Source organism: Homo sapiens, chromosome 8 (assembly GCF_000001405.40).
Source record: "Homo sapiens chromosome 8, GRCh38.p14 Primary Assembly".
NCBI lineage: Eukaryota > Metazoa > Chordata > Mammalia > Primates > Hominidae > Homo > Homo sapiens.
The window spans coordinates 99,048,244-99,068,355 of record NC_000008.11 but is presented as its reverse complement, the minus strand read 5'-3'; the positions used below and the strand labels follow the sequence as shown (position 1 = coordinate 99,068,355).

The following is a 20,112-nucleotide window of genomic DNA, read 5'->3' as shown; positions in this document are numbered from 1 at the left end:
TATAAATGCTTTGTAACCTAGTGATTTCATTATAAAAGGCAAAAAGTTCAGACCACAAATATGTCTGAATTATAAGAAAATCTATAAAACAGCTAGGGAAGAAAAAAGCACAAAATTTATGCTTGGCAAAAGTACTGGAAAGAAGACAAGGTATTTCTTCTGTTATTCCTTAACAGTTCTAATGAAAGACTAAAGGGTTAAGAAAAGAAAGGAAAGGAAAGGAAGTATCTGTAAGAAAATGGGCTGAAGAAGATAAAGAGGCTCAAGGGAGAAGAAAAATACAAATATTTCGGAAAATAAATAATACACGTAAGAGCTACATAATATAAAATAGCATATTCCAAACATATGCAAAAGTAAAAGGCGAAATCTAGCCAACATGATAAATATCTAAAAGTGTCATGGGAAAACAATGGGAGCATGGGAGGAAAAAACAGGAAATATCTTATAATCACATATAATTCCAAAACAACGAACTCCGAGAGTATTCAATGTATAAGAAGAAAAGAATGCATTTCAGATAAATTTGCGGTAAAGCACAAAAGAATTTTCTCAGTAATACTTTTGATGCCAACTGAGATTTTAAAGACTTTAAGGAATTGAAGTAAAGGTTAAAAGGGTTAAATTATACATTATACTATTAGCAAGCATAATATTTATAGATTCTTGTTGCTGTTGTGTCCAAGGCATTCCAAAATTTATGGATTTCTTAAGTTATACTTTAAGTTCTAGGGTACATGTGCACAACGTGCAGTTTTGTTACGTAGGTATACATGTGCCATGTTGTTTTGCTGCACCCATTAACTGATCATTTACATTAGGTATTTCTCCTAATGCTATCCCTCCCCCTGCCCCCCACATCATGATAGGACCCAGGGTGTGATGTTCCCCGCCCTGTGTCCAAGTGTTCTCATTGTTCAGTTCCCACCTATGAGTGAGATCATGCGGTGTTTGGTTTTCTATCCTTGTGACGGTTTGCTCAGAATGATTGTTTCCAGCTGCATCCATGTCCCTACAAAGGACATGAACTCATCCTTTTTTATGGCTGCATAGTATTCCATGGTGTATATGTGCCACATTTTCTTAATCCAGTCTATCATTGACAGACATTTGGGTTGGCTCCAAGTCTTTACTATTGTGAATAGTGCCCCAATAAACATACCTGTGCATGTGTCTTTATAGCAGCATGATTTATATTCTTTTGGGTATATACCTAGTAACGGGATGGCTGGGTCAAATGGTATTTCCAGTTCTAGATCCTTCATGAATAGCCACACTGTCTTCCACAATGGTTGAACTAATTTACACTCCCACCAACACTGTAAAAGCGTTCCTATTTCTACACATCCTCTCCAGCATCTGTTGTTTCCTGACTTTCTAATGATTGCCATTCTAACTGGTGTGAGATGGTATCTCACTGTGGTTTTCATTTGAATTTCTCTGATGACCAGTAATGATGAGCATTTTGTCATGTGTCTGTTGGCTGCATAGATGTCTTCTTTTGAGAAGTGTCTGTCCTTTGCCCACTTTTTGATGGGATTGTTTTTTTCTTGTAAATTTGTTTAAGTTCTTTGCAGATTCTGGATACTAGACCTTTGTCAGATGGGTAGATTGCAAAAATTTTCTCCTATTCTGTAGGTTGCCTGTTCACTCTGATGGTAGTTTCTTTTGCTGTGCAGAAGCTCTTTAGTTTAATTAGATCCCATTTCTCTATTTTGGCCTTTGTTGCCATTACTTTTGGTGTTTTAGACATGAAGTCCTTGCCCATGCCTATGTCCTGAATGGTATTGCCTAGGTTTTCTTCTAGGGTTTTTGTGGTTTTAGGTCTAACATTAAAGTCTTTAATCCATCTTGAATTAATTTTTGTATAAGGTGTAAGGAAGGGATCCAGTTTCAGCTTTCTACATATGGCTAGCCAGTTTTCCCACCACCATTTATTAAATAGGGAATCCTTTCCCCATTGCTTGTTTTTCTCAGGTTTGTCAAAGATCAGATGGTTGTAGATGTGTGGTGTTATTTCTGAGGCCTCCATTCTGTTCCATTGGTCTATATATCTGTTTTGGTACCAGTACCATGCTGTTTTGGTTACTGTAGCCTTGTAGGATAGTTGGAAGTCAGGTAGCGTGATACCTCCAGCTTTGTTCTTTTGGCTTAGGATTGTATTGCCTATGCAGGCTCTTTTTTGGTTCCATATGAACTTTAAAGTAGTTTTTTCCAATTCTGTGAAGAAAGTCATTGGTAGCTTCATGGGGATGGCATTGAATCTATAAATTACCTTGAGCAGTATGGCCATTTTCACGATATTGATTCTTCCTATCCATGAGCATGGAATGTTCTTCCATTTGTTTGTGTCCTCTTTTATTTCATTGAGCAGTGGTTTGTAGTTCTCCTTGAAGAGGTCCTTCACATCCCTTGTAAGTTGGATTCCTAGGTATTTATTCTCTTTGAAGCAATTGTGAATGGGAGTTCACTCATGATTTGGCTCTCTGTCTGTTATTAGTGTATAGGAATGCTTGTGATTTTTGCACATTGATTTTGTATCCTGAGACTTTGCTGAAGTTGCTTATCAGCTTAAGGAGATTTTGGGCTGAGACAATGGGGTTTTCTAAATATACAATCATGTCATCTGCAAACAGGGACAATTTGACTTCCTCTTTTCCTAACTGAATACAACTTCCTTTCTTTCTCTTGCCTGATTGCTCTGGCCAGAACTTCCAACACTATGTTGCACAATAGTGGTGAGAGAGGGCATCCCTGTGTTGTGCCGGTTTTCAAAGGGAATGCTTCCAGTTTTTGCCCATTCAGTATGATATTGGCTGTGGGTTTGTCATAAATAGCTCTTGAGATACGTTCCATCAATACCTAGTTTATTGAGAGTTTTTAGTATGAAGCGCTGTTAAATTTTGTCGAAGGCCTTTTCTGCATCCATTGAGACGATCATGTGGCTTTTGTCTTTAGTTCTGTTTATGTGATGGATTATGTTTATTGATTTACGTATGCTGAACCAGCCTTGCATGCCAGGGATGAAGCCGACTTGATCGTGGTGGATAAGCTTTTTGATGTGCTGCTGGATTTGGTTTGCCAGTATTTTACTGAGGATTTTCGCATCAATGTTCATTCAGGGATATCAACCTGAAATTCTCTTTTTTTGTTGTGTTGATACAGTTTCTTCCTAGCATTCATGGTCTTTACAATTTGGCATGTTTTTGCAGTGGCTGGTACCGGTTGTTCCTTTCCATGTTTATTGCTTCCTTCAGGAGCTCTTTTAGGGCAGGCCTGGTGGTGACAAAATCTCTCAGCATTTGCTTGTCTGTAAAGTATTTTATTTCTCCTTCACTTATCAAGCTTAGTTTGGCTGGATATGAAATTCTGGGTTGAAAATTCTTTTCTTTAAGAATGTTGAATATTGGCCCCCACTCTCTTCTGGCTTGTAGAGTTTCTGCTGAGAGATCAGCTGTTAGTCTGATGGGCTTCACTTTGTGGGTAACCCGACCTTTCTCTCTGGCTGCCCTTAACATTTTTTCCTTCATTTCAACCTTGGTGAATCTGACAATTATGTGTCTTGGAGTTGCTCTTCTCGAAGAGTATCTTTGTGGTGTTCTCTATATTTCCTGAATTTGAATGTTGGCCTGCCTTGCTAGGTTGGGGAAGTTCTCTTGTATAATAACCTGCATAGTGTTTTCCAACTTGGTTCCATTCTCCCCATCACTTTCAGGTACACTAATCAAAAGCAGATTTGGTTTTTTCACATAGTCCCATATTTCATGAAGGCTTTGTTCATTTCTTTTTACTCTTGTTTCTCTAAACTTCTCTTCTCATTTTATTTCATTAATTCGATCTTCAATCACTGCTACCCTTTCTTCAACTTGATCGAATCAGCTATTGAAGCTTGTGCATATTTCACATAGTTCTCATGCCATGGTTTTGAGCTCCATCAGGTCATTTAAGGTCTTCTCTATACTGTTTATTCTAGTTAGCCATTCGTCTAATCTTTTTTCAAGGTTTTTAGCTTCCTTGCAATGGATTCGACCATCCTCCTTTAGCTCAGAGAATTTTGTTATTACCCACCTTCTGAAGCCTTATTCTGTCAGCTCCTCAAAGTCATTCCCCATCCAGCTTTGTTCTGTTGCTGGCGAGGAGCTACGATCCTTTGGGGGAGAAGAGGCACTCTGGTTTTTAGAATTTTCAGCTTTCTGCTCTGGTTTCTCCCCATCTTTGTGGTTTTATCTACCTTTGGTCTTTGATGTTGGTGACCTACAGATGGGGTTTTGGTGTGGATGTCCTTTTTGTTGATGTTGATGCTATGCCTTTCTGTTTGTTAGTTTTCCTTCTTTTTCCTTCTAACAGTCTGGTCCCTCAGCTGCAAGTCTGTTGGAGTTTGCTGGAGGTTCACTCCAGACCCTGTTCACCTGGGTATCACCAGCGAAGGGCTGCAGAACAGAAAATATTGCTCAACAGTAAATATTGCTGCCTGATCCTTCCTCTGGAAGCTCCGTCCCAGAGGGGCACCTGCCTGTATGAGGTGTCAGTTGGCCCCTACTGGGAGGTGTCTCCCAGTTAGGCTACACAGGGGTCAGGGACCCACTTGAGGAGGCAGTCTGTCTGTTCTCTGAGCTCAAACACCATGCTGGGAAAACCACTCCTCTCTTCAGAGCTGTCAGACAGAGACGTTTAAGTCTGAAGAAGTTTCTGCTGCCTTTTGTTCAGCTATGCCCTGTCCCCAGAGGTGGAGTCTATGAGGCAGCAGGCCTTGCTGAGCTGTGGTTGGCTCCACCCAGTTCAAGCTTCCCTGGCTGCTTTGTTTACCTACTCAAGCCTCAGCAATGGCAGACACCCCTCCCCCTGCCAGGCTGCTGCCTTGCAGGTCGATCTCAGACTGCTGCACTAGCAGTGAGCAAGGCTCTGTGGGCATGGGACCCACCAAGCCAGGCATGGGATATAATCTCCTGGTATGCCGTTTGCTAAGACTATTGGAAAAGTACAGTATTTGGGCAGGAGTGTCCTGTTTTTCCAGGTACCGTCTGTCACAGCTTCCCTTGTCTAGGAAAGGGAAATCCCCCGACCCCTTGCACTTCCCGGGTGAGGCGACGCCCCGCCCTGCTTCGGCTTGCCCTCTGTGGGCTGCACCCACTGTCCAACCAGTCCCAATGAGAGGAACCAGGTACCTCAGTTGGAAATGCAGAAATCACCCGTCTTCTGTGTCAATCACGCTGGGAGCTGCAGACTGGAGCTGTTCCTACTGGGCCATCTTGGAAGAGTCAATTTATGGATTGTTAAGTGTTCAGATTACAATAATTCATTTCACTATTGCTATAAAAGAGACTCTGGCTCCTAAAAAAATGCATCCTGCTTTAAAAATAAGTAAATAAAGGAAAAAAGGCCATAATGTTTACTATATTCATTTTTAAAATAATTAAGAAATACTTTATTTTGTAGTTGCAATCCTCTAACATCTATTCTATACTTGAGTGCCCATCTATATCCACAGATACTTTCAGTAATGGTTAAGAAAATATCTGAATACCTTAAACTATTATAAGAGAATAATGTATTCTTATGTATTAAGGAATTAAAAATTAAACACATAGGCCAGGCGTGGTGGCTTACACCTATAATCCCAGCACTTTGGGATCCACAAGGCGGGTGGATCATCTGAGGTCGAAAGTTCGAGACCAGCCTGACCAACATGGAGACACCCCATCTCTACTAAAAATACAAAATTAGCCAGGCGTGGTGGCGCATGCCTGTAATCCCAGCTACTCGGGAGGCTGAGGCAGAAGAATCGCTTGAACCTGGGAGGCGGAGGTTGCAGTGAGCCGAGATGACGCCCATGCACTCCAGCCTGGGCAACAAAAGCGAAACTCTGCCTCAAAAAAAATAAACATATAATAAAGTTATTTTTCAGGGCCCATGCTCTTCAACAGTTGAAAGGTTGTCTTATTTGAATAAAAGAAAAGAATAATGATAATTTATTGTGTTTTGTAAAGGCATATCTAATCTCTTATTGGTTTTGACGCACATGAAAATTCTCTGTATGAACTGCTACATAAACAGAACCCTAAATAAGAACAGTTTTCCCTTTTGTAGCATTGGCATTTGTATTATAAATGTTAGACTAATCTTATTTACAGGAAATGGCATGTCCTATCTTCCCTATAAAACGCATAGGGAATCAGAAGCAAATAATGGTTTTACTAAATAAGATACTGAAGTTGAGAATCGATCTAACTTCGGGGGAATATGTGGATTTAGACAAGTTGAAGGAAGCAAAAACATATCCCAGGAGGGCTGAACAGTATACTGTTGAGACATGAGCTTCGACTTAAGGAAGTATTTAACAACTAAGGTGAAACATCATAGGCACCTTTGTGTACACAGAAGCACAAAATAACAACGAACACCAAACAAGATTCACTCCTTAAAATCCAGTGTGGGTAAACACAACAAACACTCTTGTTTTAATTTCTTAAAAATTATTCAAAGCAGTAATAGTTATTATTATTGACCATTGTGAGTGTGTAACATACAGAAGTAAGAGTTATGACAACATTAGCACAAATCATGACAGGACATGAAGAGGAGCATACTGTCATAAACATTCTAGGTAAGGGATAATACTTACGTTACTTATAAAGTGGTATTTTATAATATTATTTCAAAGTAGACATTGATAAGTTAAACATGCATACTGTCAACCCTAGAGCAATTACTAAAAAATAAAGTATGGTTAATTAATAATGAAGAGAAAATAGAATGCTAAAATATACTCAATCCCAAAGAAGGCAGGAAAAGAAAAAAAGGAACAAAAATCAGATGGGACCAGTAAAATATGAAGACATTAAACTTAAACCTAACCACATTTAGAACTAAATAAAAGTAAACACTCCAATGAATAGTCAGGAATTGTCAGACTAGTAAGACCCCACTATAATCTGTCCATAGAAAACTCAGGTCAGATAGAAAAACTAAAGTCTCAGTACAGTTTCTAAATACCAGACATCTCAAGTTTCAAAAAATAGTCATGGCAAAATGAACAAGTTCAAAAAAAAAAAAAAAAAAGAAAATTAGCAGCATCTAATCATCAAAACAAAATCAGAGAACTGTTGCATTTTATAGATTCAAAAGGAACCTCCAGAGCATATGAATCAAATAGAAATCAAAAACATGCCAAAAAAATGGAAGCTGCAATCTGTGTTCCTTATGTCTTTAATGCCAGATAACACATTGAGATGGCATAAAACTGAAGGGAAAAAGAAAACCTGCAACCACCATCAACTTCAAAGTTTCAAACTAAGGTTCTTTCAGTTTGCAGCATTTAGACATAAATTATAGTGTCAAAAGCACTGAACACTACAATTAAGGTTATATTTGCACTTCTGTTACAACCCCATATTTTCACTCATTCATAACATTCTTAGAAAGTCCCTGATGAAACTAAAGCCTTCCTTGTCTTGATCTAAATGTTTTCTTCTTACTTAAAATAGTTGACAGACTAAAAATAAAATATACCTTTTTCAGCTCAAAAAGAAAAAAAAATCTTCCCAATTGTGAAACAAATACAGAATTCCAAAAAGTTTCACTTATGGCAAACAAGAACTAAAACATCCTCAATAAGTTAAAAAAAAGTATTATTGAACTAAAAAATCCACTTTATGCCAAGTTTCATTTTCATATGCCATAAATTTCAGGATTATACATCATATAATAAAAGATTATATTATTTAAATCAATTTTTTTTTTTGTTTTTGAGATGAAGTCGCGCTCTATCACCCAAGCTGGAGTGCAGTAGTGTGATCTCGGCTCACTGCAAAATCCGCCTCCTAGGTTCAAGTGATTCCCCCACCTCAGCCTCCTGAGTGGCTGGGATTACAGGTGCCTGCCACCACACCCGGCTAATTTTTGTATTTTTAGTAGAGATGGGGTTTTGCCATGTTGACCAGGCTGGTCTCGAACTCCTAACCTCAAGTGATCCACCTGCCTCAGCCTCCCAAAGTGCTGGAATTACATGGGTGAACCACCACGCCTAGCCCAATTTATGTATTTTTAAAGAATCAAACATTTATAACACACTATATCTCCCAAATAGCTAACTAAAAAGAATCCTCTATTACTTCTAGGATCTAGACACAAGCTGAAGTTCAAGAAACCATGATTTCTTGTGTTCCCAAACTCTCAGGGAACACAATACAATTTGAAAAAAATTTACCTACACTGTCATCCATCTACAAGTATCAGTGTGTGGTTTGTAGTTTTTTTACTTCTTTTTCAATAATGTTCTCAAATGACCCCAATTATTTCACCTCAAAAAGAAGCTAAACCTTGGCCTGCAGAGTGGCTCACGCCTATAATCCCAGCACTTTGGGAGGCCGAGGTGGGCGGATCACCTGAGGTCAGGAGTTCAAGACCATCCTGGCCAATGTGCTGAAACCCCGTCTCTACGAAAAAAAATACAAAAATTAGCTGGGCATAATGGCGCACACCTGTAATCTCAGCTACTTGGGAGGCTGAGGCAGGAGAATTGCTTGAACCTGGGAGGTGGAGGTTGTGGTGAGCCAAGATCACACCACTGCACTGCAGCCTGGGTGACAGAGCAAAACCCTGTCTCAAAAAAAAAAAAAAAAAAAAGCAGAAGCTAAACCTAAAACAAAAGTTTAGTATCCAATGATTCTAAGATTACAAACAATACTTCATGTTAAAATTAAAATCATAAACCACTCATGATAGATAGTCATACTTCAGTATCTGTAGGAGATTGTTTCTAGGACCCCTGTGGATGCTCAAATACCTTACAGTCAGCCTTCTGCATCCATGGGCTTCACATCCGTGGTACAGAGGGCAGACTGTATCAATTGATACAGTCTTCTTAAAACTCCAAAAAGAGGCTGGGTATGGTGGCTCATGCCTGTAATCCCAGCAGTTTGGGAGGCCAAGGTGGGAAAATAGCTAAGAGCTCAGGAGTTTGAGACCAGCCTGGCCAACATGGCGAAACCCCGTCTCTACCAAAAATACAAAAATTAGGGCAAAACCCCATCACTACAAAAAATACAAAAATTAGCCGGGCATTGGTGGCTTCCGCCTGTAGTACCAGCTACTTGGGACACTAAGGCTGGAGAATCACTTGAACCCAGGAAGCAGAAGTTGCAATGAGCCAAGATCAAGCCACTGCACTCCAGGCTGGGCAACAGAGTGAGACCTTCTCTCAAAAAGACATAAACTCCAAAAGAAGAGAAAGTTTTTGTCTGTATCACTAACTACTATATCCATAGCATTCAGTACAGTGTTATAAAACTCAGTAAGCATGTGTTGAATAAAGAACTTTTCAACTTTTCCTTCAAAGAAAGGAAATAAGTACTAAAATGGTAATTTTCTATGTGGTTTACACACAATGTACTATGCCTACTTTCTGTATTATCCTTCAGTGAGATCTAATTACTAGTAATGTTAGCATATGATGAGCTAGACAGACAAGTCTGAAAAGAATCTAAATCAACAGCACCAAAATCCACACCAATCATCCTAAAGTAAAATTCCATAAGTCATCCCAGAACTTCCTCTGTATATCCTCCTTCACAACCTATCACCACCTCTCCAATGCCACAGACAATGACTTAGTTCCATCTGGGCTCCATAACTTTTCTTCTAAAATATGGCAAAAAGAATCTAACTAATTCTCTGAAATTATTTCCTCCAATCCCTTCCCCTCCACTGTGAAAAAAGTCAACTTCCAAAATTATAAATTCAGTCAAGTTGCTTGCCAATTTAAAATAATTCAATTTTGATTGCTATGTATTAATATGCATGAGACCAGCAATCCTGATATATTTTAATCTCAGGACCTCTTAATGTGTTAAAAATTACTGAGAATCACATATTTACCATAGTAGAAATACAAAAGAAAAAAATTCTAATATATATGTTTATATATTTTATGACTTATTTTTAAATAAATCCATTATTTGTTAATTATAATTATATTATGGATAATTTAAAATAAATGATAGATTTTAGGGTTTTCATATTTTATGAAAAATAGCTATATTTTCTAAAACAAAAATAAAAAAAGGGGGCATTATATTTTTTTTTAAATCTGACTTAAGAGAAGACAGCTACATTCTCATATTTGCTTCTGCCGTCAGTCTGTTCCAGTGCCATACATAACCTCTGGAAAATTCCACACTACATTCATGAGAAAATGAGGGTGAAAAAAGTAAATCATGAATCATGTCTTAGTATTAGAAAAATAATGTTGATTTTGTATATAAAAAGAAAAAACTTGGGAACACCTGGAGGTCTTCAGATCACACTTCGAAAACAACTAGATTACAAAAAATTTCAGTCTCTTTCTTATGAGTTGCACATAAGTTTATGATCTGAGAAAATCACTGAACTAGAAAAGAAGTTTTGAGGAAATGACCCACATTTAAGAATATCATGTCTAGAGACAGTGTGAAAAATGATTCGAAGTACCAATGAAAGCTAATAGATACACTCAAGAGATAGGAAAGCAGTAGAAAACAGACTGATGAATAATTGATATAAGGGATGGGTAAAGTTAAGGACGACCTCAGGGTTCCTGGTTTGGATTGAAAGCACACAGTGGAATTGTTCACTGACACAGAAAATACATAAAGAGGAAAGGATTTGAGGTTTAAGATGATTTCAGTTTGGAACATTCTATGGGACATATAGGTGAAGGCCCATTTAGCTCTTATGCTGGAGTTCAGGAAAAAAAAGACTGACCCCTAAAATAGCATTTTGTGAGTAAAAAATATATAATGATAACTAAATCCATTGGGAATAAAATTATCCAAGGAGAGTGAGCACTAAAATAACGAAAACCTACAAAACTCCTATTTAAATGTGGGATAGGTAGCAGAAAAGTAACAACAGGAGCCAGAGACAGGGTGCCAAAGATGTAGGGAAAGAATCAGAGGAGCCAAGAAAGTGAAGTTTTTGGAAAGAGATGACAAGTATTAAATGGCAAAGGTAAATGAGAATCAAAAAATAAATGAAAAGAATACACTGGATTTTTTAAGCTTGATGTTACTAATGAGCTCTGCCAAAGTGCTTACAACGGCATCATGGAGGCAGAATCCATGAGGTATAAATATTAACTTATAAGTTTAAAAAGGGTAGAAAGGCATACAGACTGGAAACAAAAAAAAAAATACTTTTTGTGGGTGATATTATTGTCTATGTAGGTGGTATTATTATTTATGGAGGAAATCTAAAGGAATCCACCCAAAAAACTCCTAAAATTAAACAGTTAAGCAAGGTCACAGGACACAAGATCAATGCAGAAAAATAAATTGCATTTCTATAACTTAACAATGAACAATCAAAATAAAAAATTAAACATATGATAATATTAAAAATGCCCCAAAGGAAATAAAATATTTAGGTATAAATCTAACAAAACATATATAGGACTTACATGCTGAAAAAAGAAAATGCTGATGAAAGAAATACAAAGGAATCTAAATAATTAGAGAAGCGTACTGTGTAGATGGATTGTAAGACTCAACACAGTAAAAATATTCCTGTGAAATTCATCTACATGTTTAAGGCCAACCAGCACAAAGATAGAGCATTAAACAACCAAAACTAAGGATGACCCTCACAGAGTCCATTTCACCCCCTGCCACCTCCACTGGATGGAGGAATGAGGATGAGGAATAGAAGGAAACTTCTATGAAAAACACACACCTAACATCATATCCAATAGTTAAAGGCTGAAAGCATTCCGTCAAAGATAAATAACAAGACAAGGATGCCCATTTTCACCACTGCTATTAAACACTGTACTAGAAGTCCTAGACAAAGAAATTTGACAAGGAAGAAAAGGCATCCAAATTGGAGACAGAAAAGTAAAACTATCTCTATATATTTTCAGATAACATGACTCTATATATAGAAAATCCCACAGAATCCACCAAAAACTACTACAGCTAACAAACGAATCTGGCAAATGTGCAGGATAAAAGATCAACCCACAGGCTGGGCATGATGGCTCACGCCTGCAATCCCAGCATTTTTGGAGGCTGAGGCAGGCAGATCGCTTGAGCCCAGGAGTTCAAGACGAGCCTGGGCAACATGATGAAAACCCATGTCTACAAAAACACACAAAAAAAATTAGCCGGGCATAGTGGCGCACACCTGTAGTCCCTGCTACTTGGGAGGCTGGGGTGGGAGGATCACTTAAGCCTGGGAGATGGAGGTTCCAGTGAGCTGAGATCACACCACTGCACTCCACCCTCAGCAACAGAGCAAAATCCTGTCTCAAAAAAAACAAACAAACAAAAAAGATCAACTCACAGCTAAGCATGGTGGCTCATACCCGTAATCCCAGCACCTTGGGAGGACAAGGTGGGAAGATCACTTGAGCCCAGAAGTTCGAGATCAGCCTGATCAACATACCAAGACCCTCTCTCTAAAAAAAAAAAAAAAAAAAAAAATTAATTAGCCAGGCACTGTGGCATGTGCCCGTGGTCCCAGCTACTAGGGAAGATGAGGTGGGAGCATTGCTTGAGCCCAGGTGGTCAAGGCTGCAGTGAGCCATGATCACATCACTGCACTGCAGCTTGGGTGACAAAGTAAGACCTCATCTCAAAAATAAATAAATAAAAGATCAACTCACCAAAATTGGTGGTGTATCTGTACACTAGCAACAAATGATCCAAAATGGAAATTAAGAAAACAATTCTACATACAATAGCACCCAAAATAATAATATACCTAGGAATAAATTCAACTAAGAAGGTGAAAGACACAATGAAAATTATAATACACTGCTGACACAATTAAAGATTACTTAAATAAATAGAAAGGCATCCCATGTTCATGGATCACTATACTTAACATCGTTAAGATGCTAATACTACCAAGCAATTGACAGATTCAGTACAATCCCTATTATAATTCCAATGGCCTTTTGAACCAAACTGAAAAAGCTAATCTTCAAATTCATATACAACTGCAAAGAGCCAAAACAATTTTGAAAAAGAAATATAAAATAGGGCCAGGCATGGTGGCTCACGCCTGTAATCACAGCACTTTGGGAGGCTGAGGCAGGCAGATTGCTTTAAGCTCAGGAATTCGAGATCAGCCTAGGCGACATGGCACAACCTTGTCTCTACCAAAAATACAAAAGTTAGACAAACATGCTGGCTCATGTTTATAGTCCCAGCTACTCAGGAAGTTAAGGCTGGAGAATCACTTAAGCACGAAAGCAGAGGTTATATAGCGAGCTGAGATCATGCCACTGCATGCCAGCCTGTGGAACAGAGTGAGACCCTGTAACAAAAAAAAAAACAAAAAAAAAACAGAAATACAAAATAGGAAGCTTATTTATTTCAAAACTTACTACAAAGCACAATAATCAAAATAGTGTTGTTCAGGCTTAAGAACACACACACAAACCAATGGAATAAAATGCTGAGTCCAGAAATAAACCCTATGGCCAGCATAGGCCTATAGGGTTTATTTTCAACAAGAGTGACAAGACCATTCAGTGGGCAAAGAAAAGACTCTTCAACAAATAGTGCTTGGACCACCAAATAACCATAGAATGAAGTTGAACCCATATACAACATATCATATATAAAATTAATCATTCCATATACAAAATTTAATTCAATATGGATCAACAACCTAAATATAAGAGCTAAAACTTTAAAACTCTTAGAAGAAAACATAGGGGGAAATCTTCAAGACCTTAGATAAAGCAATGAACTCTTAGATATAACACCGAAAGCACTAGCAATAAAAGTTAAAAATAGGCAAATTGGACTTTATCCAAATTAAATACGTTGTGCATCAAAATACATTCTCAAGAATGTGACAACACAACCTACAGAATGGATGAAAATATTTGAAAATCATAATCTGCTAAGGACCTACTCTACTACCTTGAATACAAAAGGAACTCTTAAAACTCAAACAAAAAGACAAACAATTGAATTTTAAAATGGTCAAAGATTGCAAACCCATTAAGATAGACACTATCCAAAGAACAGAAAATAAGTGTCGGTGAAGATGTGGCAAAACTGAAACCTTTGTACACTGGTGGTGAGAATACAATGGTACAGCCACTGTAGAAAACAGTATGGAAATTCCTGAAAAAAGTGAACACAGAATTACTATATGATCCAGCAATTCTACTTCTCAGTATATATGCAAAAGAACTGAAAGCAGGGTCTCAAAGAGAGATTTGCACACCCATGTTCATTGTAGCATTATACTCAATAACCAAAAGATGAAAGCAACCCAAGTGTCCATCGGTGAATGAATAAACCAAATGGGGTAAATACACACAAAAAAATATTATTCAGCCCTAGAAAAAAGGAAACCCTGGGCTGGGCGTGGTGGCTCACGCCCGTAATCCCAGCACTTTGGGAGGCCGAGGCAGGAGGATCACCTGAGGCCAGGAGTTTGAGATCAGCCTGGCCAACAGGGTGAAACCCAGTCTCTACTAAAAAATATAAAAATTAGCCGGGGGTGGTGGTAGTCGCCTGTAATCCCAGCTACTCAGGAGGCTGAGGCAGGAGAATCACTTGAACCCAGGAGGGAGAGGTTGAAGTGAACTGGAACTGTACCGCTGCACTCCAGCCTGGGTGGCCAAGTGAGATTCTGTATCAAAACCAAAAAAAAAAGAGTTGTAAGCAAGAAAAAAAAAAAAAAAGGAAAAAAAAAGGAACCTTGTCATATGCCACAACATGGATGAACCTTGAGGACACTGTGCTAAGTGAAATAAGCCAGACACAAAATGACAAAAACTGTATGATTCCACTTACTTGAGGTACTTAGAATACTCAAAATCATAGAAACAGAAAGTATAATAGAATGATGGCTGCATAGTATTCCATGCAGCCATAAAAAATGATGAGTTCATGTCCTTTGTAGGGGCCTGGATGAACCAGGAAACCATCATTCTCAGCAAACTATCGCAAGGACAAAAAACCAAAAAAACCGCATGTTCTCACTCATAGGTGGGAATTGAACAATGAGAACACATGGACACAGGAAGGGGAACATCACACAATGGGGACTGTTGTGGGGTGCGGGGAGCGGGGAGGGATAGCATTAGGAGATATACCTAATGCTTAATGACGAGTTAATGGGTGCAGCACACAAACATGGCACATGTATACATATGTAACAAACCTGCATGTTGTGCACATGTACCCTAAAACTTAAAGTATACTAAAAATAAAAAATAAATAAATAATTAAATAATTAAAAAATTAAAGAACTAGAGAAGCAAGAGCAAACACATTCAAAAGCTAGCAGAAGGCAAGAAATAACTAAGATCAGAGCACAACTGAAGGAAATAAGAGACACAAAAAACCCTTCAAAAAATCAATGAATCCAGCAGCTGGTGTTTTGAAAAGATCAACAAAATTGATAGACCGCTAGCAAGAGTAATAAAGAAGAAAAGAGAGAAGAATCAAATAGACGCAATAAAATATGATAAAGGGGATATCACCACCAATCCCACAGAAATACAAACTACCATCAGAGAATACTACAAACATCTCTATGCAAATAAACTAGAAAATCTAGAAGAAATGGATAAATTCTTCGACACATACACCCTCCCAAGACTAATCCAGGAAGAAGTTGAATCTCTGAATAGACCAATAACAGGCTCTGAAATTGAGGCAATAATTAATAGCTTACCAACCAAAAAAAGTCCAGGACCAGATGGATTCACGGCCGAATTCTACCAGAGGTACAAGGAGGAGTTGGTACCATTCCTTCCAAAATTATTTCAATCAATAGAAAAAGAGGGAACCCTCCCTAACTCATTTTATGAGGCCAGCATCATCCTGATACCAAAGTCTGGCAGAGACACAATACAAAAAGACAATTTTAGACCAATATCCCTGATGAACATCTATGCAAAAATCCTCAATAAAATACTGGCAAACCGAATCCAGCAGCACATCAAAAAGCTTATCCACCAAGATGAAGTTGGCTTCATCCCTGGGATGCAAGGCTGGTTCAACATACGCAAATCAATAAACGTAATCCATCACGTAAACAGAACCAACGACAAAAACCATATGATTATCTCAATAGATGCAGAAAAGGCCTTTGACAAAATTCAACAACGCTTCATGCTAAAAACTCTCAATAAATTATGTATCGATGGGACATATCTCAAAATAATAAGAGCTATCTATGACAAACCCACAGCCAACATCATATTGAATGGGCAAAAACTGGAAGCATTCCCTTTGAAAACTGGCACAAGACAGGGATGCCCTCTCTCACCACTCCTATTCAACATAGTGTTGGAAGTTCTGGCCAGGGCAATCAGGCAGGAGAAGGAAATAAAGGGTATTCAATTAGGAAAAGAGGAAGTCAAATTGTCCCTGTTTGTGGATGACATGATTGTATATCGAGAAAACCCCATCATCTCATCCCAAAATCTCCTTAAGCTGATAGGCGACTTCAGCAAAGTCTCAGGATACAAAATCAATGTGCAAAAATCACAAGCATTCTTATACACCAGTAACAGACAAACAGAAAGACAAATAATGAGTGAACTCCCATTCACAATTGCTTCAAAGAGAATGAAATACCTAGGAATCCAACTTACAAGGGATGTGAAGGACCTCTTCAAGGAGAACTATAAACCACTGCTCAATGAAATAAAAGAGGATACAAACAAATGGAAGAACATTGCATGCTCATGGGTAGGAAGAACCAATATCGTGAAAATGGCCATATTGCCCAAGGTAATTTATAGATTCAATGCCATTCCCATCAAGCTACTGATGACTTTCTTCACAGAATTGGAAAAAACTACTTTAAAGTTCATATGGAACCAAAAAAGAGCCTGCACTGCCAAGTCAATCCTAAGCCAAAAGAACAAAGCTGGAGGCATCATGCTACCTGACTTCAAACTATACTACAAGGCTACAGTAACCAAAACAGCATGGTACTGGTACCAAAACAGAGATACAGACCAATGGAACAGAACAGAGCCCTCAGAAATAATGCCGCATATCTACAATCATCTGACCTTTGACAGACCTGACAAAAACCAGAAATGGGGAAACGATTCCCTATTTAATAAATGGTGCTGGGAAAACTGGCTAGCCATATGTAGAAAGCTGAAACTGGATCCCTTCCTTACACCTTATACAAAAATTAATTCAAGATGATTAAAGACTTAAATGTTAGACCTAAAACCATAAAAACCCTAGAAGAAAACCTAGGCAATACCATTCAGGACATAGGCATGGGCACGGACTTCATGTCTAAAACACCAAAAGCAATGGCAACAAAAGCCAAAATGGACAAATGGGATCTAATTAAACTAAAGAGCTTCTGCACAGCAAAAGAAACTACCATCAGAGTGAACAGACAACCTACAGAATGGGAAAAAAATTTTGCAATCTACTCATCTGACAAAGGGCTAATATCCAGAATCTACAATGAACTCAAACAAATATACAAGAAAAAAACAACCCCATCAAAAAGTGGGCAAAGCATATGAACAGACACTTCTCAAAAGAAGACATTAATGCAGCCAAAAGACACATGAAAACTTGCTCATCATCACTGGCCATCAGAGAAATGCAAATCAAAACCACAGTGAGATACCATCTCACACCAGTTAGAATGGCACTCATTAAAAAGTCAGGAAACAACAGGTGCTGGAGAGGATGTGGAGAAACAGGAACACTTTTACACTGTTGGTGGGACTGTAAACTAGTTCAACCACTGTAGAAGTCAGTGTGGCGATTCCTCAGGGATCTAGAACTAGAAATACCATTTGACCCAGCCATCCATTACTTGGTATATGCCCAAAGTATTATAAATCATGCTGCTATAAAGACACATGCACACGTATGTTTATTGAGGCACTATTCACAATATCAAAGACTTGGAACCAACCCACATGTCCAACAATGATAGACTGGATTAAGAAAATGTGGCACATATACACGATTGAATACTATGCTCCCATAAAAAAGGATGAGTTCATGTCCTTTGTAGGGACATGGATGAAGCTGGAAACCATCATTCTCAGCAAACTATCTCAAGGACAAAAAACCAAACACTGCATGTTCTCACTTATAGGTGGGAATTGAACAATGAGCACACATAGACACAGGAAGGGGAACATCACACAGCAGGGCCTGTTGTGTGGTGGGGGGAGGGGGGAGCGATAGCATTAGGAGATATACCTAATGTTAAATTACGAGTTAATGGGTGCAGCACACCAACATGGCCCGTGTATACATACGTAACTAACCTGCACGTTGTGCACGTGTACCCTAAAACTCAAAGTATAATTTAAAAAAGATAAATAAAAAAATAAAAATACAAAAGTTAAAAAAAAATAAAAGAAGGAAAGGCAAAATGCTCCAGAAAGTCTCAGCAACAGAATCAAACAAGCAGAAGAAAGAACTTCAGAGCTCAAAGACAAGGTGTTCAAATTAACCCAATCCAACAAAGACAAAGGAAAAAGAATAAGAAAATATGAACAAAGCCTCCAAGAAGTCTGGGATTATGTTAAATGACCAAACCTAAGAATAATTGGCATTCCTGAGGAAGAAGAGAAATCTAAAAGTTGGAAAACATGTTAGGGGGAATAATCAAGGAAAACTTGCCCAGCCTGGCTAGAAACCTAGACATCCAAAGACAAGAAGCTCAAAGAACACCTGTGAAATTCATCACAAAAAGATCATCGCCTAGGCACACTGTCATCAGGTTATCTACAGTTAAGACAAAGAAAAGAATCTTAAGAGCTGTGAGGCAAAAGCACAAGGTAACCTATTAAAGAAAAAAAAAAAACCTATTGAATTAACAGCTGATTTCTCAGCAGAAACCCTACAAGCTAGAAGGGATTGGGGCCCTATCTTCAGCCTCCTTAAACAAAGCAATTATCTGCCAAGAATTTTGTATCCAGCAAAACTAAGCTTCATAAATGAAGGAAAGATAGAGTCTTTTTCAGACAAATAAATACTGAGATAATTTGCCACTACCAAGCCAGCACTACAAGAACTGCTAAAAGGGGAGCTGACTCTTGAAACAAATCCTGGAAACATATCAAAACAGAGCCTCTTTAAAGCATAAATCTCACAGGACCTATAAAACAAAAATACAATTTGAAAAAAAAAAAGGTATACAGGCAACAAATAGCACTATAAATGGAATGGTATCTCACATCTCAATACTAATGTTGAATGTAAATGGCCTAAAAGCACCACTTAAAAGATAAAGAATTGCAGAATGGATAGAATTCACCAACCATCAGCTGCCTTCAAGAGACTCACCTACCACATAAGGACTCACATAAACTTAAGGTAAAGGGGTGGAAAGACATTCTATGCAAATGTACACCAAAAGCAAAAGGCAGTATCTATCCTTATATCAGACAAAATAAACTTTGAAGCAACAGCAGTTAAAAAAGACAAAGAGGGACATTATATAATGATAAAAGGCTATGTCCAACAGTAAAATATCAGAATCCTAAATACATATGCACTTAACACTGGAGCTCCCAAATTTTCTTTTTTTTTTTTGAGACAGAGTTTTGCTCTGTCACCCAACCTGGAGTGCAGTGGCTTGATCTTGGCTCACAGCAACCTCCGCCTCCCAGGTTCAACTGATTCTCCTGCCTCAGCCCCCTGAGTGGCTGGGATTACAGGCGCTCGCTACCACACCCAGCTAATTTTTGTATTTTTAGCAGAGAAGGGGTTTCACCATGTTGGCCAGGCTGGTCTCAAACTCCCGACCACTGGTAATCCGCCCGTCTCGGCCTCCCAAAGTGCTGGGATTACAGGCATGAGCAACCTCACCCAGCCTAGAGCTCCCAAATTTATAAAACAATTACTACCAGATCTAAGAAACAAGATAGACAGCAACACAATAACAGTGGGGGACTTCAATACTCCACTGACAGCACTAGACAGGTTATCACGACAGAAAGTCAACAAAGAAACAATGGATTTAAACTATACCCTGGAGCAAATGGACTTAACAGATATTTACAGAACATTCTATCCAACAACTGCAGAATATTCATTCTATTCCTCAGTGCATGAAACTTTCTCCAAGATAGTCCATATGAGAGGCCACAGAACAAGCCTCAAT

General features: G+C 38.4%; 1 protein-coding gene across 5 annotated transcripts in view; it reads right to left on the bottom strand.

Moving 5' to 3' along the window:
* VPS13B (vacuolar protein sorting 13 homolog B) overlaps positions 1–20,112 on the bottom strand; it is an 864,307-nt gene that overhangs the window by 809,225 nt on the left and 34,970 nt on the right. The window contains exon 4 of one of the 5 annotated variants that reach the window (NR_047582.2): positions 12,316–12,430. The exons of the other annotated variants lie outside the window; for them this stretch is intronic. The gene's annotated coding sequence lies outside the window, so the exon portion shown is untranslated. The remainder of the gene's footprint in view (positions 1–12,315; positions 12,431–20,112) is intronic. 5 annotated transcript variants of the gene reach the window in all.